The 26509-nt window shown below is 46.2% G+C and overlaps 1 long non-coding RNA gene across 1 annotated transcript, besides 1 other annotated feature; it reads left to right on the top strand.

Moving 5' to 3' along the window:
- The first annotated feature begins 63 nt into the window (after positions 1 to 63).
- On the top strand, positions 64 to 14729 carry LOC105370373 (uncharacterized). The gene is made up of 3 exons (XR_944295.3): positions 64 to 218; positions 3929 to 4008; positions 12949 to 14729. It is a non-coding gene; the product is annotated as an uncharacterized LOC105370373 (long non-coding RNA).
- Positions 25329 to 25829: an enhancer, noted in NCBI's record as "H3K4me1 hESC enhancer chr13:113004827-113005327 (GRCh37/hg19 assembly coordinates)". NCBI's record gives its function as "activates a minimal SCP1, AML or CMV promoter by ChIP-STARR-seq in primed H9 embryonic stem cells {active_cell/tissue: H9 hESC(primed)}" and the evidence as "EXISTENCE:reporter gene assay evidence [ECO:0000049][PMID:30033119]".

The raw sequence follows: 26509 nt of genomic DNA, 5'->3' as shown, positions 1-26509 counted from the left end.
TTCCCATCCTTGGTCTCCAGGACACTGTGGAATGTCAGGACCTGTGACATCACAACCAGGAAGGGAGCTGGGGTCCTGCCCTGGTGGGGAGGTCATGTCCAGGGACCTGTGACATCAGGACCAGGAAGGGAGCTGGCATCTTGCCAGGGGCGGGGGGCAGGGTTTCTGTCCAGAGTCTGTGACTGGGAAGCAGGGAGGAGGCTCACTGGGGTCTTAAGGTAACAGAGATCCTCTCCACTCTTTCTTATTGCCTGTTCTGGTGACTTCCTCTGTCCTGAGCACCCTGAGGACTCAAGGGGTAGATACTAATCAGGACTTAAGGGCCAGTGGCCAAAAGCCAACAAAATCTGCTCCCATGGAAAGAGGCGTATTTGAAGGATGCTGGAGAGGTGGTTGAATTACAGAGCAAGTGCCAGAACCGACAGATCCAGAGGGTCTAATCACCTCTTAAAGGTCCCTTGAAGAACAGAGCCTTGAAGAACAGAGGCCCGTGGCCCCATGTCCCCTCCCACCCTCCCCCACCCTCAAAGTTCCAGGATCATGAAGAACAGGAGACAGATGACCCAGGTTTCAGCCTCCTTTCCCCCACACCTTCTTTCTCAGCATCAGCCCCAATCTTTCCCTGGCAGTGAGACTTTAATCACGAGAGGAGAACATGGCTGCATTTCCATGTTATCATCCTCCCAGCTCTATCTCCTAGACTTTCTAGAGCTTTCTCCATCCGTGCAGTGACAAAACCCCAAAGGAGTCACTCTGGTTGGCTCCCCTGGATCCTATCTCACCCCTGGACTGACTCCTACATCCAGGGCTCAGAGTGGGGCAGCTGGTCTAGACTCGGCCGGTGGTGGGGTCCCAGGTGAACAGCCCTCAGATCCCAGCTCCATGGTGGAGAGGGCTGGTGTGTTTGTCTGTTCCCACACTGCTATATAGAACTTCCCTGAGACTGGGTAATTTATAAAGAAAAGAGATTTAATTGACTCACAGTTCTGCATGGCTGGGGAGGCCTCAGGAAACTTACAATCATGACGGAAGGGGAAGCAGGCACCTTCTTCACAAGGCGGCAGGAGAGAGAGTACATGAAGGAGGAGCTGTTAAACACTTATAAAACCATCAGCTCTAGTGAGAACTCACTTATCATGAGAACAGCATGCAGGAATCCACTCCCATGATCAGATCGCCTCCCACCAAGTCCCTCCCTCAACACGTGGGATTATGAGGATTATAATTCAAGATGATGCTTGGGTGAGGACACAGAGCCAAACCATATCACTGGGGCCCTGGACGCACAAGACTAACAATGCCCCCGAGGTCTGGTCAGGACCCCAAGGATGGCTGACCCACCATGGGTCTCTGGCTCTTTAATTTTTATTGCTTGTATGGGAACCCACAGCACATTTTTGCTCAGGTTTTCCTTTTGATAGATGCAGTGGTAGCCAATCTACCTCAAGGTGTGGGGAGTATATTTCAGATTTTCAGCGTGTCCATAAAGGCACACTAAGCATGGTTGACATTTACAGAAACCCAGTGGGTTCCAAGTCCCACTCTGAGTTAATGAATGGTCCAAGTGAGATGCTTGCTTCTATAACCCAGGCTCTTGCTACTCAGAATGTCATTTTGGGGCCAGCAGCATGGGCCTAAGAGGCTGAATGTACAAACGGACAGCAGCCAGAGCTCCCATGACAGCAGAACCCTGCACTGCTGCCTGTCGAACGACACCCACTGCACCAAGGAGGGATGTCTGGCTAAGGCAGGCCAGGGACTTCCACCTCAAGGCGGAGGATGAGGAATTTGATCAGGGCTGGGGGCGAGGCCTCGTTGAGAAGAGGGGTCAGAGGAGCCTCGCTGATTTGGTCGAGGAAGGAGTCATTCTCAAGGCTGCCCGAAGCTCGGTGACTTGATACAGCCCATGTGTGATTGCTTACAACTTTGTGGGTTGGCTCTGGGGGCTGCTGGCCTAGTGTGGCCTCATGGACATGTCTGAGGCCTTAGCTAGGATGCTGGGGCTTGGGATGGCTGAGGCTTCCCTCCATGTGGTCTCTCGGCCTCTAGCAGGCAGCCTGGGCTTGGTCACAGCAGAAAGGAGAGTAAGCCTCGATGCAAACAAGCCTTTTCTTGCACCACATTTGCTAATGTCTCATCGGCCAAATGAGTCAAACTAATCCCAGATGCAGGAGTGGAGGAACAGATTTGAGCACTAAAATATGGTAGTCAGAGGCCGGGCGCGGTAGCTCACGCCTGTAATCCCAGCACTTTGGGAGGCCGAGGTGGGCGGATCACGAGGTCAGGAGATCAAGACCATCCTGGCTAACACGGTGAAACCCCGTCTCTACTAAAAATACAAAAAAATTAACTGGGTGGGCACCTGTAGTCCCAGCTACTCGGGAGGCTGAGGCAGGAGAATGGCATGAACCTGGGAGGCGGAGCTTGCAGTGAGCGGAGATCGCGCCACTGCACTCCAGCCTGGGTGACAGAGCAAGACTCTGTCTAAAAAATATATATGGTAGTCAGACTGGCTTAGTTCACAGAGCTCTGCCCCCCGCGTTTCATAGATTTGCTTAGCTAATTGGAAAGAAGAGGTTAGAGTGTCTGGTATGTGTTTTTAATCAGTTGCTTTATGAGATTCTAGTTTGAAGAATCTCTCACCAACCCTTGGGAGGTTGATGGCAAATTTATTTTTCTTATTCTTTGCTGTCTTTTAGCAACAATTTTACACATAATTCCCTTTGCATTTGTATTTGCATGCAACATTAAAACCAGAAGGGAATTTAACAAATTAATCTATTTATACCAGTTTCTTTGAATGGGGACTTTAATTCATTTGCATAACTGTCATAGCAGCAGCATATGACTCCTAGAAGTTTTTTCTCCATGGTTGCATTTCAGTTGAGAGATTGTTTCTGTCATATACCAATAGAGATTTGTTTCCTGCATCTTCCAGGGGAAAGAGGAAAGAACTCTTTATGGCTCTTTTAAAATAAACAGGCTTTCCTTATTTTTTTAATTTTTGGAAATGTAAAAATTTTAAAAATTAAAAGAAAAATGCAAGGCTAGGTCCAGTGGCTCACACCTGTTATCCCAGCACTTTGTGAGGCTGAGGTGGGTGGATCGCTTGAGCCTAGGAGTTTGAAACCAGCCTGGGCAACAGAGCAAAACGTCATCTCTACAAAGAATACAAAAATTAGCCAGGCATGGTGGTAAATGTCTGCAGTCCCATCTACTTGGAAGGCTAAGGTAGGAGCATCACCTGACCTTGGGGAGGCAGAGGCTGTAGTGAGCCGTGATTGTGTCACTGCATTCTAGACTGGGTAGCAGATCGAGACTCCATCTCAAAAAAAAAAAAAAAAAAAAAAACTGGGTGCGGTGGCTCACACCTGTAATCCCAGCACTTTAGGAGGCCGAGGCGGGTGGATCACCTGAGGTCAGGAGTTCGAGACCAGCCTGACCAATAAGGTGAAACCCTGTATCTACTAAAAATACGAAAATTAGCTGGGTGTGGTGGCATGCACCTGTAGTCTCAGCTACTTAGAAGGCCGAGGTAGGAGGATCACCTGACCTTGGGGAGACAGAGACTGTAGTGAGCTGTGATTATGCCACTGCACTCTAGCCCGGGCAACAGAGTGAGACCCCATCTCACAAAAACAAAACAAAACAAAACAAGAAAAATGCAAACATACTTAGTTCCATTGTACAAAATTAACACTGTTAGCATCTTAGAATATTTGCCTTTGATGTTTTTAATTTTTGAAAAATCATGGTTTTGTTTTTATAAATACGCTAATAATACATACTCACTATAGAGAACTTAAGCAATGAAACGACAAAAACGTGAAAATTAAAAAATGACCCCAGTTGTCCCGCAGCCACGACCACCATGAATATCAGGTTAACATCGTGGCAGACACCTCTTCATCTATGTTTACGTGCACAGGCTGGTGGGCGCGTGGAGAGATAGACATGGTGTGAGGAGCTCTTCTGTGGACGCAAACACCTGTGGGGTAATAACATAAGGTAATAAAGGTGGGAACACACCACCTCACTCCTGCAACAAAAGTAATTCTTCAAATTTACTCAGATTTAATGGAGGGAAAAAAACCTGAAGAACAACTGAAGGAATTGATGAACGTCCAGTATTTCCTCTCTCTCAGTCATTGCTCACAGGAGAGGAGGGGAGACTCTGGGGAAAAACTTAGGTATTTGGAGTCAATGCATTTTTTTTTTAAACGTGCAAGTTTCACTTTTCCACAGGAACAGCCGACTTCCTGATCTGAAATACGAGGACGGCTTCACTCTCCCTTCCTCTCACTTCCTTTCTTTTGATTCAATGTTAATTGGCCATGAACTTCTTATTTCCCCTAAGAAGAGCTCAGAGATGTTCTATCCCAGGACATCTTCAGACCTGAGAACTTAGGTTGTTGGCTTTAGAATCTAACAGTGACTTGTGGGGGAACAAGATTCACGGGCCAGCCCTCCTTCCCTAAGAGTTGTTACAGTTTCCCCGTTGCAGATCCTGAGTGCTGTGTGGAGCGCTCTGTGGACCACCTGACATGGACCCCCTCTTGCAGATGATCTGCTCTGGCTGTGTGAAGACCCGAGTTATTCTTTCTTTATCTTGAAATTAAGCAGCAGAATTAGGATTTGCCTTGGCATTTCTGTTCTCTGTTAAACTTCCCAGGAAGAAGATATGTCCTTTTGATCTGCAGACCCAATCTTTATTCACTTCAGGCACTTTTTAATCTCATGTCTTTGAATATGTCATCAATCCATCTCTCTGGTTCTCTACCCCCAGGCACCTGTTTCCTTACGCTGGACCTTCTCCATCTGTCTTCCTTAACCATTAGCTTTTCCTTAATTGCTGTAACCCTCTTGTCGTCAAAAAAATCTGTATTCACTGTGTTTTTATCTGTGGTAATAATTTCTAGAGGTATTTATTTTGTTTCTTACTGTTTCTGTCATTATATCATTGCTGTTTATAACATTTTAGGTCCTCAATGTGTTTCAATAGCTTCATTTTCATCCAATTCTATTTTGTGTGTGTAAAATCTCACCTTTGAGCTTTTCTATAGTTTGCCGGTTATTCCATAGCTTTCTGCCTTTAGAGTTGTTTTTTTTTGTGTTGTTATTTTGGTGTGTCTTTTGCTTGGTGTTCTTTTATTTTATAGAGATCTGTTTTAGTATGTTTGCAGAATTGCCATGTATTTCTTCTCCTTTCGCTTGTGTTTGGAAAGTTCTCCCATAAGTTCTAGTTGCTCTGAAAAGTGGTGAGCAACTACTTGTCTGTCCTCCAACTTTTTAAGGCCCAGTTTCTTTCCTCCTCATTCTCCTGTACACCCTGCTCTAAGCAAGAGTTTGAGGGCTGAGTTTGGTGGTGCTGGGATGAGTGGTGGAAGAAGGAACAAGTATGTGTGCGGAGCGGGACAATCTCTGCAGGAATAGCTGGGCCTGTCTTTCCTCTGCTGGGATTTTGTTAAATATAGTGAACCAAGGTCCATGCCACGGTCTGAGGGCTACACTCCGTTTCCTTGTTTGGTGGTGGGGTGGGGTGGGGCGGTATGTCAATCTGTGCAACCCTGGAGTCAAACTTCAACAGAATCAGTCCTTTATGGCCCAAAGTGGTTCCAGATTGCAATGCTCATGTTATCAAGTCTAGTTTTTTAAACCTTTATTCTTTCAGAAAGGACCCAAGTTTCGAGTTACAGTTTTGTAGGATTTGGATAACTTTATTCATGTGCTTTTTGTTTTATTCTTAGACAGGGTCTCGCTCCATCACCCAGGCTAGAGTGCAGTGGTGCGATCACAGCTCACTGCAGCCTTGATGGATTAAAGAGATCCTCCTGCCTCAGCCTGCTGAGTAGCTGGAACCACAGGCAGGCACCACCACACCTGGTTAATTGTTCATACTCTTTTAAGAGCCTTTTAATTATGAAATGATGACAGAGTCACAGGAAGTTGCAAAGAAATGTACAAGAAGGTCCTGCATGCTCTTTGCTCAGTTTACTCCATGTTTACATTCTACATAACTTAGTACAGTAGCAAAACCAGGTAAGTGTAAATGGGCAAAATAGATTAATGCATCACAGTTCCTTCTGTTTTTTGCTGCACACTAAAAAAATATATATTTATATATTATTTATTTATATATAAGTATATATTTAAATATATATTTAATAAGTACATATAAAATAAGTAATAAGTACATATGGTTAAATAATTACATATATTTAAATAAATAAGTATATATTTAAATATATATATACATTTCTTGAAATTCCTTGATATATACATATAAAGAAATATCAAGCAAAAGACAGACCAAAATAACATTACAGACATCCCTCAACTTATGATGAGGTTACCTCCTGAAAAACCCATCATAAGTTGAAAATATCACAAGTCAAAAATGCATTTAATACACCAAATCACAGTTGGTAGTTTAGGTGATTAACCTACCAGATTAACCAGAGATTGCTAGCCTGACTTACTCGGAACACTTATATTAGCCCACGGTTGGGTGAACTATCTAACATCAAGCCTATTTTATACTAAAGTGTTGAATACTTTACACAGGTGGGCATTTTGTAGACATGATGGGATGTGAAAACACAAAACAGAGTATCCAAAAATCTCTAGCAACACACAGAGTGGGCTGTTGACTTTCGTGATTCCCCGGCTGACTGGGGGCTGCACCTTGCTGCCCTGCAGGGCAAGGGAGTATCACAGCACGTATCACTAGCCGAGGAAAGGGTCAAAACTCACAGTGCAGTTTCTTACTGAATGTGGATGGCTTTTGTTTCGTCATAAAGTCAAACAGTTGTAAGCTGAACATACATCAGGGACTGCCTCTATTGGTGAAATGCATGTGTGTGGTTCTGTCATTTTATCATGTGTAGATTTGTGTAACCACAGCTGCATTTGAGACACAGGACTGTTCCACATCCATGAGCTCTCCATCACACTGCCCTCTACGTCCTCCCATAGCCAGCACTCATCTGTTTTCCTTGTATGTAATTTTGTCGTGTGAGAATATTATCTAGAAGGGTGATTTCTCCGAGATGGGCTTTTCTTTTATTCTGCATAATGCCCTCGACATTGATCCAAGTCACTGGCTGCGTCAACAGTTCCTTTTCATGGCTGAGCAGCAGGCACTCCATGGCATAGCTGCACCACACTTTGCTTATCTGTTCTTGTATTGAAGAACTCTTTGGTCCTTTCTAGTTTGAGGCTGTTTCAAATAAAGCTAATATAGACAACTGTGTATGGGTTTTGTGTGGACGTAAGTTTTCGCTCCCCTGGCGTGCATGCCTAGCAGTGCAATTGCTGGGTCATGTGGCATGTGTAGGTTCAGTTTTTCAGGAAAGTGCCCAACTATTTCCAGAGTCCCTGTTTCATTTTCCATGGCCACCAGCAACATATGCGAAATCCAGCTTCTCGCTGTCCTTGCCCGTATGTGCTATTGGCTGTATTTGCATTGTAGCTGTTTGATAGGAGTGTAGTGGCAATCTCTTGTGACCTTAATTTGCATTTCCCCAACAGCTGGTGATGCTCACGTCTTCTTGCGTGCTTGCCACCTGTGCACCCTCTTGGGAACATGTCTGTTCACACCTGAACTAGTTTCTTATTGCTTCTCTAACAAATTCCTGCAAATTTAGTGCCTTAGAACAACACTGATTTATTATCTTACCAGTTCTGAAAGCCAGAAGTCCAAATTGGGCCTCGAGGCTGAAGCCAGGTGCTGTGTGGCTGCATTTCCTCTGGGGGCTCCGGGAAATCTGTCTCCTTGTCTCCTCCACCATCCGGGGCTGCCCACATTTCTCCAGCAGCAAAGTCTCCCCATCTCCAGTTCTGTCTTCTGCCTTTCTCTTGATTTATAAAGACCTTGTGCTTCCATTGGGCTCTGCGATGATTAAATTTATGTCAGCTTGGCTGGGCCATGGTACCCAGACATTTGGTCAAAAATTATTCTGGACTGGGTGCAGTGGCTCACACCTGTAATCCCAGCACTTTGGGAGGCTGAGACGGGTGGATCACCCGAGGTCAGGAGTTCGAGATCAGCCTGGCCAACATGGTGAAACCTCATCTCTACTAAAAATACAAAAATTTACTGGGTGTGGTGGCACGCACCTGTAATCCCAGCTACTCTGGAGGCTGAGGCACGAGAATCGCTTGAACCTGGGAGGTGGAGGTTGCAGTGAGCCAAGATGAGCCATTGGACTCCAGCCTGGGTGACAAGAACTAAACTGTCTCAAAAAAAAAATTATTCTGGATGTTTCCGTGATAAGACTTACATTTAAATTGGTGCTCTGTTCTTCTTCCATTGACTTGCTTTCGGCTTTTTGTTAAAAACCAGCTGGCCATGCGTGTGTGGGGCTATTTCTGGGCTCTCTCTGCTATTTGGTTAATCTGCGTGTTTATGCCTCTCCAGTGCCACATTGTCCTGACTGCTGAAGCAACATGAAAGTCTGGGAAATGGGAAGGGCAATTGCTTCCACTTTAGTATTATTTTTCAAAACTGTTTACTCCTCTTCCTTTGGCTTTCCATGTTACATATTAGGATAATCTTGTCTATATCTGCAAAAGAAAAGCTGGAATTTGATGAAAATTGTGTTAAACCTGTGTGTCATTTTGGAAAGAATTGTCATTTTTTTCCTGCATGAATACATATGATCATGTAATTCTTTTTTCTTTAGTGTGCTAATATAGTGGATTACATTGAGAAATTTATATTATTGCTGATTATTTTCTGTCTTTTTATGCTGCTATTGATCCCATCTAGTGATTTTTAGAATTTCAGATATTGTATTTTTAGATTTAAAATATCCATTTGGTTCTTTTTTTTAAATTTTCTACTGTTTGCTGAAACCTTTAATTTGTTGAGACTTTCTATTTCTTCATTTGTTTCAAGAGTGTTTGTAAATGTTTGTTGAAGCATTTTTATGATCACTGCTTTAACACCCTTGTCAGATAATTCTCATGTCTGTGTTATTTTGGTGTTGGTCTCTGTTAGTTGTCTTTTCTTGTTCCATTTGAGATTTTCCTAGTTCTTGATATGACAAGTGATTTTTGATGGAAACCTGGGCAGTTTGTGTGTCATATTGTAAGACTCTGCATTTTACCTGCATCTTGCCATTTAGCAGGTTTCTCTGACCCTGGGTGAGGGCAGGTGCCATCGTGTCACTGTCACGCTGGGAGTGGAAGTCCAGCTTCCCTCTCTGCCCTCATTGATACTGGCACGGTGGGGCTCCTCTGCACGGCTGGCAGCAGGTGGAGCAGGAGTGCCTTGTTACTGGTTCCACATGGCCCCAGGTGATACTACAGGGGTGGTGGCCTCATGACTGCTGGGGGGGGTGATGAGAGTTCCCACTTCCTGCTGCCTCCCTTGTCACCATCCTGGTGGGGAGGAGAATGGCCTTGTTACCACCAGGTGGGGGTGGAAGTCCAAGCCCCCCTCCATCAGCCTGTTCCCATGCCACCCAAAGAGGGGTTTGGGGCATCTCATGACAGTGTGCTGAGGGCAGAAGTCCAGGCTCCCCACTTGACTTCTGCTGGAGGGGTGGGGACAGGGCCACAGCTCCGTAGTGTTTGGCTGGAGGAGAGAAGTTACTGTGTCCTGCAGGGCTGCTACTTCCTTGGTCTTGTGGCTGCAGAGGGTAGGCTTTTCCAGAGTCTTTTTTGGTCTGAATCCATGGCCATCTCTGTGCTGCCAGCTTCTCCAGCACCCACTTGGGAGACATGAGGCAAAAGGAAAACCCAGGGAACTCCCTCCTGGGCAATTCCTCAATCCAAGGTCCCCAATTGATCTGCCTTCTTCCCTCCACCTCTCTAAGACTTCTTCTATTTGTCTTGTGGACAGCATCCGGGGCTTTCTCTTGTCCTCAGTGGGAATAGCAGGGAAGCAGATGCAACTCCTATTTTCCTCTAGTCCAATCCATGCATCTCTATGAGTGCATGCTTGCAGGACATGTGTCCATGGTGGGTTAGGCTCTGGGAGGCAGTGTGCACTAGGCTAAGTGCTCAGCATGGTCATACCAGCTCGATTTAATTCCTGGTCAGTGGCTTACTAGCTGATGACCTCAGACAAATCAAATACCCCTCTGAGCCTCTGAGCTGATAGCTCCTACAGGCCTAAGCCATTTGTTTTCACCATAATGCTGCATGGCAAACCACCCCAAAACTCAGTCTGTGGCCAGCAGCATTGGCTAGGCTGAGCTGGGCAGTTCTTCAGGTCTGGGCTGGGCTCACTCAGCTATTCTCATTCACTCACGGCAATTGGCTCTCAGCTGGTATTGTGGAGATGCAGACCGTGTGCCTCTCCCCTCAGGCTGGCTTGGGCATGTTCTCATGACCGTGGTGGAAAAGGAGCAGGGGCCATCAGGACTTGGGTGTAAGTACTTCCCAGCTTTTGATGGTGTGTTGTTTGCTTACAAACCACAGTGCATGGGGCTCAGCCAGGGCTAAGGGGTGGAGCTGGGCACCAGCCCCAAGTGGGAGGACACAGGTGTGGGAGCAGTGAGGGTGGAGCTGGGTCCTTCGTGCTGTGTTCTTACCACACCCCTTTATGGTGTTAAGTGAGTGTCTTGGTCATCACAGGCTGTGGGACAAAATACCACAGACTGTGTGTCTTAATCAATAGACATTGATTTCCTATAGTTCTGGAGGCTGGAAGTCCAAGATCAAGGTGCTGGGAGATTCATTTCCTGGTGAGGGCTCTCTCTCTGATGTGCAGACAGCAGCCCCCTTGCTGTGTCCTCACATGGCAGAGAGAGGACCCTGACCTGTTCCTGTTCTTATGGAGACAGGAATCCCATCATGGGGACCCCACCCTCCTGACCTCATCTAAACCTAATTAGCTTCTAAAGTACCAGCTCCAAATACCATCTCATTGTGGGTTACAGCGCCAACACACGTGTTTGGGGGCACAGAATCCAGTTGATAGCAGTAAGTTAATGCATAGAAGGGTGGCTTGCTTGTTTATTGTCTTGGCATTCTTTCTACACCATTAGACTGGGACCAAGCCCCTCCCTCTGCTGTCATACTTTCCTAGGACATTGGGAAAAATTGTGTTCCTTTGAGCAGGTCTGTGAAGCCCTGGGATCCCTCAGTGCCAACCGTCCCTGACCTCGAACTTGGCTTTCAAAGCACAACCCTTCAACCCTCTTTGGGCCCAGCCCCTCCTCTGTGACTTCCCTGGTAGCAGCATTGCTGGTGTGTGGCCATGGGGCAGGACCCTCCCTAGGTCCATGCCGACTCAACCTGCCCTGCCAGACCTCACTTCTCAGGCTCAGCTTCTCCACTTAGAGCCAAAGCTTAGGCTGCACCTGCCCAGGGTGGCTCCTTGGCTGTGCCTGCCTCTCTGTGTGCTCACTTCCCCTTTACCCACCCTCTGAAGGTTTGGTCCAAAATCAACTGATAAAAGGCAGATTGATCAGAGAAAAGGCACGTGCAGTTCATGACTGGGCCTGGGGGAAATTGCAGTGATTTCCCAAATGTGTTGCACAGTGCAGAGGCTGATGTGTCCTTTTCCACAGGGGAGTGGGGGGTTGGCGAGGGTGGGAAGTTCTTCTGAGGGACAATAAATCATCAGGGAAAAGTGAATGGCCCCGGGAGGTGGAGGCAGGAAGGTGGGGGATGGAGCTGCACGAGAATAAAGGTCGCCTCACTATGCAGATCAAGTCCCCCAAAACCTCCCTTGAAGTTGCTCTTGGAAGAACAGATGAGAAGTCCAGGTGTGGGGAACCCCTGTTCCCTCCCTTCCCAGATGGTTGAGCTTTCGTGGCCATTGATGAGATTCCCAGGGTGGGAGATGTAAGACAACTGCATTGAAGCTGCTTTGGTAGGCAGACAAGGAATTCCAGAGAGAGCCCCTCTCAGCACCTGGCGGGGCTGGCGTCCAGGCCAGGGGGCCCTAATTCGGAGACAGCTCCTTGGGCCTCTCAGCTGGTCCCAGCCAGGCTTTGGGGTGTGGCCTTCTGAGCCCCAACACCGCCCAGGCTCCTCCTGCCTCCACCTGGAGTTTCCTGTTGCTTATCACAAGGAGGCAGTGCCTGGCTTGCTCTGGTCCGAACGGTGGTGCTTTTCGCTGGTTTGGCTTTTGTCTCCAAGGCTCTGTTGCTGTTGCTGATTGCATCTTGGTTTCTGCCATGTTTGGGTCCCAGGGGAGACCCTGTGCAGGCCAGATACTGAGCTGGGTGGGACCAGCAGGGTGCTGGGATTTGGGTAGGGAAGGTGTGTTGGAGGCCTTTGCCACAGAATAGCTGGCGACAAACCAGCATGCAGACCCCGGTGGGTGCAGTGACCTGGGAGGGCTGGGCTCCTGGATGGAGCACACAGGGAGCAAGAAGGGAGCTGGACAGGCCCACACTGTCCGGGTTTCATGTCTGCAAGACAAATCTCTGCTCACAGAAAACTTGAGAAGAAAAAATGGGCTGTTCAACCCACTGGGAAGCGTTGGCATAGTGAGAAGGAATGGCCATGCATCCGTATGTCACCAGACTCCCCTTTTCCAGGGGAGTTAAAGATCCTTTTCCAGGCATGTTGGCAATTGTTTTCTCTTATGAAAATATCCCGTAGACCCATAATTTGGCAATATACACATAACCAATTGTTTTAAAAACAGAAGTGATGCTGGCTATTATAATGTAAACTGTTTTCTAAATGAAAGAATTAAAGGAATGTAATTGGAGAAGTATACAAATAGTGGTTAATATGCTGCTTCTTGCAAAGGCATATTACAACTTATAATCTTCCTTTATGGATGTATGTTGTTAGTGCTTAATCAGGCATGTGAATGTATTCAGGTGTTAAACCATTCTATTAGCTGGGAAATTGCACTATTATTTGCTGAGCTGTTTATGTTATATTGTTGTTGGCTCTCTGAGTTTCTCTTTCTCTCCAAGCTTATCTTACTCTGGTCTCTGCAATCTGTATAATTGTCTTCTTTACTTTTGTCTTTAGAAAGCTTTAAATAGAGATACTGGGAACGATTAACTGTGTCAGAATCACAAAGTTCTGCTGCTTTACAGATTAATTGTAGAGACATTATGCCGATGCTTTAAAAGGCAGAAAGAACCTGGATGCAGAATGGAGGGTCACAGCAGGATCGTGGCCAATGACACTTCCTGCCCAGGAAGTGTCCACAGGAGGAGTCTTTGAAGACTAGCAAGAAAATGCAGGGCACCTTCCTGGATGCATCAACCTTGACCTCAGTGGTCTATAATAGCCCTGCAGTCCAGAGGTCCCGCTACTAGAAATTCTAAGTGTTGGAGACAAAAGTGAAATGCCAAGGGGGAATGCTGTCTCCTCTGGGAAAGCAAAATATTTACCTGAGAAAGAAAATCTCCTAAAAGCTTTCTATACCATCCATCCATCCATCCAACCATCCATCCATCTATCCATCTATCCATCTTCCCTTCCCTTCCCTTCCTTTCCCTTCCCTTCCCTTCCCTTTCCTTTCCTTCCTTTTTCTTGTCTTCTTATGGAGTATGTCTGCTGAGAGGATCAGATTACATGGAATCAGATTAATTGTAGATTTCTACATGTGATACAATCCAGTATATTGGCCACGATTGGCTATGAAACCAGTAGCACAAAATGGCAGAGTTTCCCAGGATGGCCAAGACTGGCCTGGAAAATCTGGGCAAGTGTGTTCTCTGAGACCAATTCCATATATTCAGGCTCCGTTTTGTATTAGTTTCTTGAATTCAAATAAAGAATCCAATGTTGCTTTAAGAAATAATTTTGGCAAAATCAAATACAAAATACATTGTATGAGGATGGAGTCACATCACAGTGAAAGAAAAAAATACTTGATTACATAGAATTATTAATTGGAAAACTAGGAGAAAAGTGTTGATCATGAGTTCGATGTAAAACTGTGCTAGAAATGTTTATCAAGACCTACTATTTGTAAAACACATTGCTATGGAGTTAGGCCTCTGTTAGCAGAGTTTAAATTCAGTTTTTCTTTCAAAGAATATCATTAGCTGGCAGGACAAACAGGGAAACAGGGTTAAAGAAACTTTAAAGATGTTTCCTAGCCATGTTCCCATCAATACGTTTGCTCAAGTCTAACAGCTGTTATTCCCGATAGCTACTGAATGCAGACAGCATGGTTAAATGCCTAGACATTCTTTGTGGAGTACAGTCATAAATTCACAGTTGTCGGTGCTCCAACTGTTGGAACTAAGAGTGACTAAGAATTAAAACTGGGAATCCCGGAAGTCCTGACCAGAGAAATCAGGCAAGAGAGAGAAATAAAAGGCATCCTAGCAGGGAAAGGGGGAAGTCAAATTATCTGTTCTCACTAATGCGATTTGATACCTGGAAAACCCCAAAGACTCTGTCAAAAGGCTCCAGAACTCATACATGACCTCAGTAAAAAGTTTCAGGATACAAAGTCAATATACAAAATTCAGTAGCATTTCCAATAACATTTGAACTGAGAGCAAATCAAGAACATAATCCCATTCACAATAGCCACAAGAAATAAAATACCGAGGAATACATCTGACCAAGGAGGTGAAGGATCTCTACAAAGATAACTACAAAACGCTGCTGAAGGAAATCATAGATAACACAAACAAATATGCTTATGGCTTGGAAGAATCAGCATCATTAAAATGGCACGATGCCCAAAGCAATGTGCAGATTCAACACCATTCCTATCAAACTAGCAATGTCATTTTTCACAGAATTAGAAAAAAAAAACTATTCTAGAATTCACGTGGAACAAAAAAAGAGCCCAAACATCCAAAGCAATCCTAAGCAAAAAGAACAAAGCTGGAAACATCACATTACCTGATTTCAAACTATGCTATAAAGCTACAGTAACCAAAACAGCATGGTACTGGTACAAAAACAGACGTATGGACCAAAAGAATGAACAGATAACCCAGAAATAAAGCTGCACACCTAGAGCCACCTGATCTTCAACAAAGTTGACAAAAATAAGCAACAGGGAAAGGACACCCCACTCAATAAATGGTCCTAGGATAGCTGGCTATCTATATGCAGAAGAGTGCAACTGGACCCCTACCTTTCACTATATACAAAAGTCAATGCAAGACAGATTAAAGACTTAAATATAAGACGACAAACCATAAGAATCCTAGAAAAAAACCTAGGAAACGCCATTCTGGACATTGGCCTTGGTAAATAATTTATGACTAGGTCCTCAAAAGCAATTGCAACAGAAACAAAAATTGAGAAGTGAGACCTAATTAAACCGAAGAGCTTCTTCATAGAAAGAGAAATTATCAACAGAGTAAATAGACAGCCTACAGAATAGGAGAAAATATTTGCAAACTATGCATCCAACAGAGGTCTAATATCCAGAATCTATAAGAAACTTAATGAATTAAACAAGCAAAAACCAAATAACTCCATTAAAAAAGTGGGCCAAAGACATGAATAGACATTTCTCAAAAGAAGACATGCCAATGGCCCACAAACATGTGAAAAAATGCTCAACATCACTGATCATCAGAGAAATGCAAGTCAAAACCACAATGAGATGCCTTTGCACACCAGTCAGAATGGCCATTATTATTATTATTATTTTTAAAGTCAATAAATTTACTCAAGGAATTCCATGGTGTGATTTCTTCCTCTGTCCATCAAGGTCACTTTATTTAGAGAGCTGGAGTAACAATTTGTCTTCAAAAGATTTATTTTCAAGTTAGCCCTTTTTAATGAAACTGATGCTTATTTTAATCCAGTGGTCCTGTCAGCCTATAATTCTTTTATTTTGGCTTCTGTCATCTCCTTTTAATATGGATAGACTGATGAAGACTTCAAAATTCACCTAGGAAAAAATCAAGAATCTTTGGGATCTAATTTCTTCAACCGATTTATTTTGGGGCCATTTTTAGTGTAGGTGGACCTGAGAGTGGCCATTATTAAAGTAAAAATCAGCAACAACAAAAACAAACAAACAAAAAAACCCCACATGTTGGTGAGGATGCAGAGGAAAGGGAATGCTCATGCACTGTTGGTGGAAATGTAAAGTGTTCAGCCACTGTGGAAGGCAGTTTGGAGATTTCTTAACTTAGAACAGAACTACCATTTGACCCAGCAATCCCATTACTGGGTATGTACCCAAAGGAAAACAATCATTCTACCAAAGAGACACATGTATGTGTGTGTTCATCGTAGCATTATTCACCATAGCAAAGACATGAAATCAACCTAGATGCCCATCAATGGTGGACTGGATAAAGAAAATGTGGTACATTTACATAATGGAATACTATGCAGCCATAAAAAAACAAAATCACGTCTTTGCAACAACATGGATGCAGCTACGAGTCATCACCCTAAGCAAATTAATGCAGGAACAGAAAACCAAATGCCATGTGTTCTCACTTATGAGTGGGAGCTAAACTTTGGGTACTCATAGACATAAAGATGGCGACAATAGACACAGGGGAGGACTAGAAGTGGGAGGGAGAAAGTGGGGCAAGGGCTGCAAAAGTAACTGTTGGTACTATCCTCAGTCTGTGAGCATCACACAACATGCCCATGTGACAATCTTGCACATGTACCCCCAAATCTAAAATAAAATGGAAATTATTAAAAAATGAAAATAAAATAAAAACAAACCTGGGAATCCTAAATGTCTGGGTTACGTGGCCATCTTTAAGATTCTAAAATCATGAGTTGAAAGAAAATGACTATATTCACACATGGCTCTAACAGTTGTATATATTGAATAGTCTGAAAAAATATATTTTTTCTGGTACTTGACCATTTCAGTTACTCACCACTGTTACCAACAGGCCTGGGTAACAGCCTCTTCTGAGTGGACTTCTAAGACTGTGGTCATGGAAATGCAGCTCAGGGACCACTGTGTGACAAGCAGAGTGGAAGCGGGAGGTGTGGGCACCATTCGCCCTGGTGGTTTGCTCCATGAAAGGGGGATAGTGCTGGCTCATGACAAAGAAGAGAAAACTGGTGCGACACCCCATGGTTAACGTGACGGCACGTGGCTAATGAACACTTAATGATCCCTCGCCTGCACGTTTCTGTCACCCATTTGAGAATGTCACTTGTTTTATACTTAGCCCTACAGTGCGGGATTAGCTTCTTGCTAAAGTGAATTAGTCAAGGTTCTTTAGAAATCAGAACAAAAGTGCTAGAAGATGTGTACAGATATGAAGAGACTGAACATGTACACACTGGTTCAGATAATGTATAATTAACTTAAAGGAATTTTTGCCTGGGACGTGGGAACTGGCAGTGAGATGTTATTTCACATTTGCTGAGACCTTCACCTTACTATGGATGTTTTTTAACCTGAAATTATTCTTGGAGAAATATCAGGTTGTGGCAGACCCATCACTCTTCCTGGGGAACAGAAATCCCGATGTCCACAGCAAGAACATCGTTTTCCAAACAGAATTAAGGGGTTCTGTTTCAAAACATAGAGATCCAGTCATTTGGTTATTTGTTATAGACACACACAGACCATACACACATACACACCACAACACATATGCATATACACATCCCATGTACACATACACATGCATATACACACCACACACAACACATAAACGTCCTCCCCTACATACACACTACATACACACACACACATCACACATCACACATACACATGCATATATACTCCCCCAACACACATGCACATCCTACACACATACACACATATACACCCACACATACACTACACATACACATGCATATATACTCCCTCAACACACATGCACATCCTACACACATACACACATATACACCCACACATACATTACACATACACATGCATATACACACTACACACACAACACATAAACATCCTCCCCTACATACACACTATACATACATACATCACACATCACACATACACATATGTGTATACTCCAACACACATGCACATTCTACACACACACACAACACATATGGATGCATGTACACTCACACAACACCCACATGCACAGTCTACACACATATACACACATACCCACACATACACACATCACACATGTGCATGCATGTACACTCCCCCACAACACACATGCACATTCCACATACACACATTACACACAAGGATCCACACTCACCACACACACAATACACACGTGCGCATTCTACACCCATACATATATACATCGCACATACATATACATGTACACTCACTATACACAACACGCACACAAGCACATCCTACACATACATACATAATCACACATACACATACACATGCATACACACTCACCACACACATACAACATGCATACACATCCCATATACACATACACACACCACAAACAGAAAATATACACACACCACATACATATACACATACACACACTTACATACATAAAACCACGACACAGCCACAAGACACACACACACACACACTTTTTTCTTTTTGACCCCAAATTCTCCATTTACTTTCTTTCACTCCCCCACATCTCCCAAGCTCTTTTCTAGCCTTCATTTAGACAGGTGCATTCCAGAACTCCGAGGTCCCAGATAAGATGTAGAACGTGTCAGTTTTTTTGTTTGTTTGTTTTTGTTGTTGTTTTTTTAATGTTCAAAGATCTCTGTCATTCACATGTTTTACAGATAAGGTCAACTTAGCAAAAAAGCTTCACTCTGACTACTCTTAAATTTTGTGATGGATGAGTGAAAACTTTTTCTCACTTGCTGACCCCGAAATTAAGCATCCAGCGCCCACTCACCCAGGCTTCAGCTTTACTGAAGCTGAAGGCAAAACTCGTATTTCCTACAGCAATGCAGAATGAATAAAACCCTACAGCTTTGGCACTTTGATTTGTGAATGTTTGGAATAGAATATTAGTTCTGCCATCTTGTATGGGCTCCTGCTGACCACTGGAAATTTGGCAGTGGTCCATAGAACCAACCAGAGGTTGGGAAGGTGCAGCTCCTTACAACCTGAGGCACAAAGAAGCCTTCTGATTAGCTCAGGTGGCTGCATTTTTACTGTCAGAATGTTCTTCCTTTGCTTAACATGTTGTGTTACGGGGGCTACCATTGCAACATGAAACACTCCTGGAAGAAACGACGTGCTAATAATTTACCAGGCACTGGTGTCTAAGAGGAAATTAAAAACAGGTTTTGTAGCCAAGGTAGTGGGTTGGCAAGTCTGAGGTTTCGCACATGCACAGACTGGCAAAGGTGGCAGGTGGGTCGCTGCCAGAGGTATGAGACCAGAGGAAGCTCCAGAGTTTTTGGAGGTACTGTGCTTAGAGGGAGTGGGGAGGTGCTGGCAGCGCCGAGAGCTGCCTTGCACTGGGTTCTATATACGCCTGTGGATCTTTCTTGCATATCCCACTGTTTGAGAATGCAACGCATTCCAAATCTGCATGAAGGACTGGGGTCACCTGAGTCTGGAATGAGGAGGGGCTGAGGAGATGCTTGCCAGCGCAGTATCTCTTGCAGTTTAAAATGGAACACTTATAGTTCCGGATTTTCTAATTTTGCTATCCAGCAGCTCTTGGAGGTGAGTGGGTCAAAATCATAATTCCATTTTGATAGATCTTGTGATTAATCTTTGCTCATCAAAGCTCCTCCATTATATTCATGTACCTGAAGCTGGAAGGCGGAGCTGCTCTGGGGTCGCAGGTGGTCCCGGGTTCAATGCAAACTTGTTTTGCACAAAGAGATCTGCAAAAATAATCCAGCCTTTTAGTTTTTGATTCCCTTTCTATTGATTTACACTTAGGTACATTTAATTCCAAACCTTGGAGATGGCTGACAGGGTCATTCAATTGAGTCTTTGTAGTGAAGAAACCATTAAGAAAGTGGAGAGGCTGGAGCCCTGCAATTTCCACTGGGATGAAGAATCAAAGACTAATTTTATTCCGAGATCGTAGTCGTGCCAAGCGCTTAGCAGGGCATAGACCAGAGCCATCGTTTCAGCACAAGGAGCCTGGCGTTTGGGGTGTGAGCAGGTAAAACACTCTGAGTCTCTCTCCACGCAGCACATGGAGGCACTGTTCTGGAGACCGCGGGAAACAGGCGTCCCAGTGGCTGGGCTGAAAACGCCCTCCTTCTCTAACACGCGCTGAGAAACAGCCAGGGGGCCATGTGCATGTCCCTACATGCTTTTATTTGAGATAATTTGATGCAATTTAAAAATTAATTTTGACCTTAAAAAAGGTGTCCTTTCCTCAGTTTAGGAGTGGAGGTGAACCCTGATCTGGCCCCCATAGCAGGGACGCTCTGCCCCTGGTCGTCCGTTGCCTGGCTCGGAAATGAGATGGCGATGGAGAAAGGCCGTTGCTGGAGCAGGAGGGGGCCCCACTGCTCCCTCCTGGGGGTGAGATAGCAGCATAATCATGCAATATCTAAATTAATACAAACCTAAAGTCTCTTCAAGGTACTTTCACTGGAAAGTTTTCCAAATTTGTTTCACCTTGGAGGTGATGTCTCATCCAAGTTTGGTTTTGTTTTCAGATGTATTTCCCTGCTCTGTGAGCTTCACGGAAGGACTTCACATTAGGGGAGGCTCTAAGGTGCCCTGTGTGCTAGGCCCTCATGAACCATCCCAGGGCTGCCTGCTCTGCAGGACCACAGCGTTGCTGTGCCCAGCTTGGGGTGGGCTCCTGTGCCCCTCTGTGGGTGCCCGCCCCATCTCCACACTGCCAGCTCTTCTCTGCCTGCATGTGCAGAGTAGAGAAAGGGAGAGGAGGCAGCAGGGGTTCCAGGAGGGCAAGGGGCATAGACCAAGATGAGGACGGGAGGAGGAGACCCCCAGGGGGACGCAGCGGGCGTGGTGGGGGCCACCATGCTCTTAGTTCATGTCCCCCAGGAAACTCGTATATCGAAATGCTCAGCCCCACGGTGATGGTGGCGGGAGGTGGGGCCTTTGGGAGGGGATCAGTTCAGATGGTGATGAAGGTGGGTCCCCACGAGTGTGATTTGTGCCCTTGCAAAAGAGGCCCAGAGAGCTCCCTCACCCGTTCCACCATGTGAGGAACCAGTGAGAAGGCCCCGTCCACAAACCAGGAAGCCCTCTCCAGATGCCAAATCCGCCGGTGCCTTTATGTCAGACTTGCAGCCTCCAAAACTGTGAGAAATACACTTTTGTTCCAAGCCATCCAGTTTATAGTATTTTGACAGCAGCCCAAATGGACTGAGATGGAGGCCAAAGGGGTGAGTGGCCGTCTCCAGCAGGCAGAGCCCCCAGTGGGCTCCGCTCACACCTGGTGTTCCAACCGGGGCCACGGGCCTGGTGCCCGCTTCCCTTTCTCACTTCCACCTGGACCTTTCCACAGACGCCCCCTTCCCCCATCGCCGGCTTAGCCTTGAATGACACACCTGATTAAAGTTAATTTAAATATAACATTGATTTGATTTGAATAAAAACACCTGCGGCTTCTGACGGCACCACCCCATGTGACCCCCATGGCCAGACAGGTGGCCCTCCCCCTTCTGTCTCCCTTCCCTCCCCTGAGGCCTTGCTCCGGGCTTGAGCTCCTGCACCACGGTGCTGGGACAATCACACGCACAGGGTCTACCTGCGCATGAGAGGCAGGAGAGCGCCGTGCCTTGGGGAGCAGGGGGTGGTCCCGGCGTCCCTGTGCCCTCAGATGCCACCTAAGCTCCAGAGCCTCCATTTCCTTGTCTGTAAAGCATGGTCCCCGGAAGCAGGGAGGATCAGGTGAGTGGTGCTCTGCGTCGAGTGCTGGGTGTTGGGTCACCTTGTGCCCCTGGACTCTGGCTTCTGCCCTCACAGCTTCACCCCGTGCCAGGCCCGTCTGATGGATCTGAACCCTCCCGGCTAGTGAGGAGCCTGCAATCCCCTCGGGGAGACGGGGGTGAGACAGGGGTGCGGGCACTCAGCACCCTCTGCCCCTCCACAATTCTGCGCTGGCCCCAGGGAGGGAGGCCGGGTCGGAGGAAGCTGAGCTTGGAGAGCCCCTAAAGGTGACACAAGAGGATTGTCCCTGGGTAGCCATGGGCGGGGGCCCTGTTGGCAGGTGGGGCCTGCGGTGGCCACAGAGGGCCAGTGGTGGGTCCAGTGGCTCAGAGGTCACGGTCACATCACCGGACGCCTTTTTGGCAGCCCAGAGAGTGAAAGCTGCTTCCCCAAAGCCCCTCTGAGGCTGCAGACCTGGCACAGTCTCTGGGGCTCTTGGGCCAGGGCGCAGTCTCCATTTGCCACCATCTCCCCCGACGCAATTCCCTGACCTCCAGGCCTTGGGGCCCCACTTTCCAGGACCCCACCTGGATGGGGTGGGGGGCTCCTTTGCTGAGTCCGGCCTTCCCTGGGTGTCCCGGCTGGGTGTTTTCTGGGTGGCTCAGCTCCTGGGTGCACGTCCAGGGAGGTCCCAGGGTCCCGGATCCTCGGTGGGTCCTGGATCCTCAGTTGCTCCCAGCTCACAATGCACCCTCGTGCTGCTTCCAGTGGGCCTGGGAATCATCACCTCCAGGAAGATTTCTAGCAGCTGCTGATGTTTTCTAAGCTCGCCGTCCCATCCACCTGTCACTGAAGGCCTTGTTTCCTTGCTACCCTTGCCATTCTTTCCTGTCCCCCTCATTCTTAATCCTGCTGCCCACTGATTTGACATCTGAAAGCGTTTTAAGATGTTTATCTCCTGAGACTCAGCAGTCTACCTTGTTTCCCCGTGAGGCTCCGATCGCTGGGCCAGGTCCTCCAGCTCCTCCTGAGTGTCTGGGAGGGACGAAGTCAATGGAAGTTAGGAGGTGAAGTGTGCTCCAGAGATGAGGCTGAAAAAAATTTCTGAAATAACTTTTGTTATCCTTTGGCTGAAAATAATGAATGTTTTGGGGGTTAAGCAACAAGATTGAGGTCTCCTTTCAAAAAGCAAGTCGTCCTCGTGCTGTGATCATGAGCGTCTGGCGGGCGCATAGCCCCAAGGACGAGAGCGGCCGGGGGTGCTGGGCTTCCAGGCCTTCAAGAGCTCCTTGTTCTTCAAATGCTGCAGCTTCGATTAAAAGTCAAAGTTGTCGCTATTCACTGCCTTTGTGGCGTCAGAATGCGAAAACTTTGATGGCTTTATTAAGCTAGCAGCTTTTCAGTGGCAGAGTGAGAAAGCTGTAGAGAGACTTCCTGCTTTATCAAAGGGATTATTTATTTATTTATCCCAGAACACACGTGTGTTTTCCACTGCGTGCACAGAGAGCTGCCTCATTGAACACATAGCCATTCGCTATCATCTGAACGTGCGGCAAAGCAGGGCAGTGTCCCCCAGAGCTGTGGTTTCCAACCCCATCGAAAACCAATGGCACCCGCTTTCATGACAAACACGTTGTCACTTTCCTTTACTTGGAATGAAAGTCACAGCTAGTATGAGTAATCCACACTCCTGAGAAATAATATTATAGATAGGAAATTAATTAAAATAAACTGTCATCAAAGGACGTTAATTTACAACGGCCTGTATTTCGATATGTAAACACCTGGGCATGACGGTGTGAACAAACATAATGAAGTAGACAAACACATGCCTTTCCTTCACATGAGCCAGTCGGGTTTCAGAGAAGTGAAGCAACATTCGGCTGCCTGTTACGAAGACTTTATGTTCAGTATTTTGAAATAAAAGCTATCTAAAGATATTTGGATTTACGCATCCTAATAGAGAGGATTTTCATGAATGCAATGGTTACAAATGCAGACCAATACACCAGCAATTCTCTCTATGCATCATAGACGCCAGTAAAGACAGGATTTTCCTGTCTGTGGCATGATTTTCCTCAATGATAAACAACACTCGATAATGTTCTGACAAAATAAAGTACTGACTTCTCTTGATTTTCAAAGTAGTTGCATTACTGGAGAATTCAGTATATACTAAAACCATACAACAAATATTATTGTGTTTACAGAAGAAAACAGAGTTGGCCTTGGTAGATAGAAACAGGCTTTTCACCTACAGGATTGTTCTGAGTGGAAGTTTGTCGTGGTGAGGTCTTCCCTGTAGTCTGGGGTCCTGACGCCCCTGGTCCTCACCCCCCAGGTGCTGGAAAGGCCCCACCCTTGCACTGTGAGTGTCCCAAATACTCCCTTCTTGAGCAAGACTAAGAGGCCCTAAGTCTCAGCCAGCTTGGCAGGAGCTTCACAAACATTGCTCCCATTCCCAAAATATTTCTCAACATTCACTGGATTTTTTTGCACTATTAAAACATATTTGAAAAATGCCTTGAATCTTGAGAAATTCAAATGCTTCATGGACGTGAGGGTGTAAACTAAGAGGGCCACGACACAGTGGTTCAACTGGCAGCTTTGCAGCCAGGTGCCTTTTTCTCAAATTCCTGCCGGACTGCTTACTGGCTATGCAAACCCATCTATAGAATCACAACAATACCCCCCGACCGCGTTCTTGGGATTAGATGAGAGAACCTGAGTAAAGGGCTTAGCATGGCACCTGCTCCCCGGAGTGCTCAGTGCATGTTAGTTATAACCAAACGTGTTTATTTCCTCTGAGTTGTTGACAACATGTATCTAATACAGAAAGCATCTCTAGCAGAGCTTTTAGCAAAAGTTCTTGTTTTGTTTCAATTGAACTGGATCCCACAACATCTCTGCAACCTGGCAGACACCTACAGCCTCTGAGACTGAGCTTTCATTAAGTTACAGACCAAGGTACACATGCTTTCTGTCTTTTGTGGAGGGGCAGAAAGAAGAGGGAGAGAGAAAGAGTGAGTGAGAAAAGAGAGAGAGACAGAGAGTATAAGGTTTATGATGAAGATGTGGCACATATTATGGAGGATGTGAGGAAATACAGTGTTTGTAGAAACTCATAAACCCTGCTCACATGAGAACTGTTAAGACAGTTCACAACCACATACAACCATGCACAACCATGTACAACCACTCACAGCCATACACAGTCCTTCAAAGCTGCATAACCAACCATGCACAACCATTCACAGATATTCATAACCATTCCCATCCATGTGCAGACATGCGCAATTGTGCACTTTCACAACCTTACAGCCATGCACAGCCATGTGCAACCATGCATATTCACAGCTATTCACAGTCATGCACAACCATGCACAATCATGTGCAACCACTCCCAGCTGTGCATAGCCATGCACAACCATGCACGTTCGCAACCGTTCACAGTCATACAAAACCATGCAAAGCCATGCACAACCAGGCACAGTCATGTGCAACTATGCACATTTACAACATTCACCGTCATGCACATGGAAGGCACAGCCATGTGGAACCATGCACAACCATGCACAACTATGTACAATCATTCCCAGCCATGCACAGACATGCACACCCATGCACATTCACAATCATTCACAGTAATACACAACCAAGCACAATCATGTACAACCACTCCCAGCCATGAACAGCTGTGCACAGCCTTTCACAGACATGCACAATCATGCACATTCACAATTGCCAGAAGCCAGGCACAGCCAAATGCAGACATTTACAACCGTTTAGACATGAACGACCACCTACAGCCATGCACAGCTGTGCACAACATCTGACACAGATCTGCAAAGAGAGCTACCAGCAAATGGAACACAAAGGTGCTACTCATGGTGAACAGTACTTGGGAGATGGTTTAAGGTAGTGACAGTTTCTGATCATAGTATTTAAGTGCTGGAAGAGGTGTTTTTTCTCAGCTCCTCATTTACAGATGAGAAAAACTAGGTTGTTCCTGAGAATGTGTGTATTTGTGGCGGGACAGGAGCTGGCGCTGGCTTGCTCAATGGAGCTGCTGCTGCCTCATCTGCACAGCGGGCCATCATGGGGTCACCAGAGCAGTGGCTCACTGCTGTGCTGGCTGCTTCAGCACATCTCGTGGGCCGGAGCCAGGGCCCAGGGCGCTGGAGAGCCTGTCTGGGAGGTGGCAGGAGGTCAGGCCCTGCTCTCAGGAGTTCTGTGAAGACATGCTGAGTGGATGGTGACACGCATGAGAGACACCCAAGAGGCACTTGAGACAGAGGGGCCGTGACATCCACAGGCTTCCTCCTCCACCCTACCCCAGCGCGCATGGCTCCTTGCGGCATGCAGAGGAAGGGAGGAGAGTTGAGTCCCTTCATGGGAGAGGCTGTGGATTCCTGAGGCTGCAGCCAGGAGGTCGGGACCAAGGGAAAGCACAAAGACTTCACTTATCTCAATGAACCCAAATCTGCCTGTGGTTTGTTCTCACGTGGGGCCTGAGCAGAAGAAGCTTCTCCCATGTAGTCTTGAATTTGGTGAAGTTAGAAAGACAACCAGAGCAAGTGTCAGTGAGAAGGCAAGGCCAGTCCTGCCATCAGGCAGGGTGGCTCCAGGGCCACCTCTTTCATGAAGCCTCCCTTGTTCCAGAGCTGGAAGTGAGTACCGTATTCTCCATTCATTTAAAAAACGCACACGTGTTTGCATATGTGTGAGGGAGACAAACACCTGCGGGGCTTCAGAGAAGGGTGCTGACCACATCTGCGGGAGTCTACAGGTGCTCGTACCAAGGGGGGTGCCTGTCTCACCACTGCGCTACTGGGCTCGAGTCTTCGGGGCTACAGCCCGGGAACCCGCATCACTAACAAGCTGGCGGGCTTG

Source organism: Homo sapiens, chromosome 13, assembly GCF_000001405.40.
Source record: "Homo sapiens chromosome 13, GRCh38.p14 Primary Assembly".
NCBI classification, from domain to species: Eukaryota; Metazoa; Chordata; class Mammalia; order Primates; family Hominidae; genus Homo; species Homo sapiens.
Note: the sequence above shows the minus strand (reverse complement) of the source record. Positions and strands in the feature narration are given on the sequence as shown.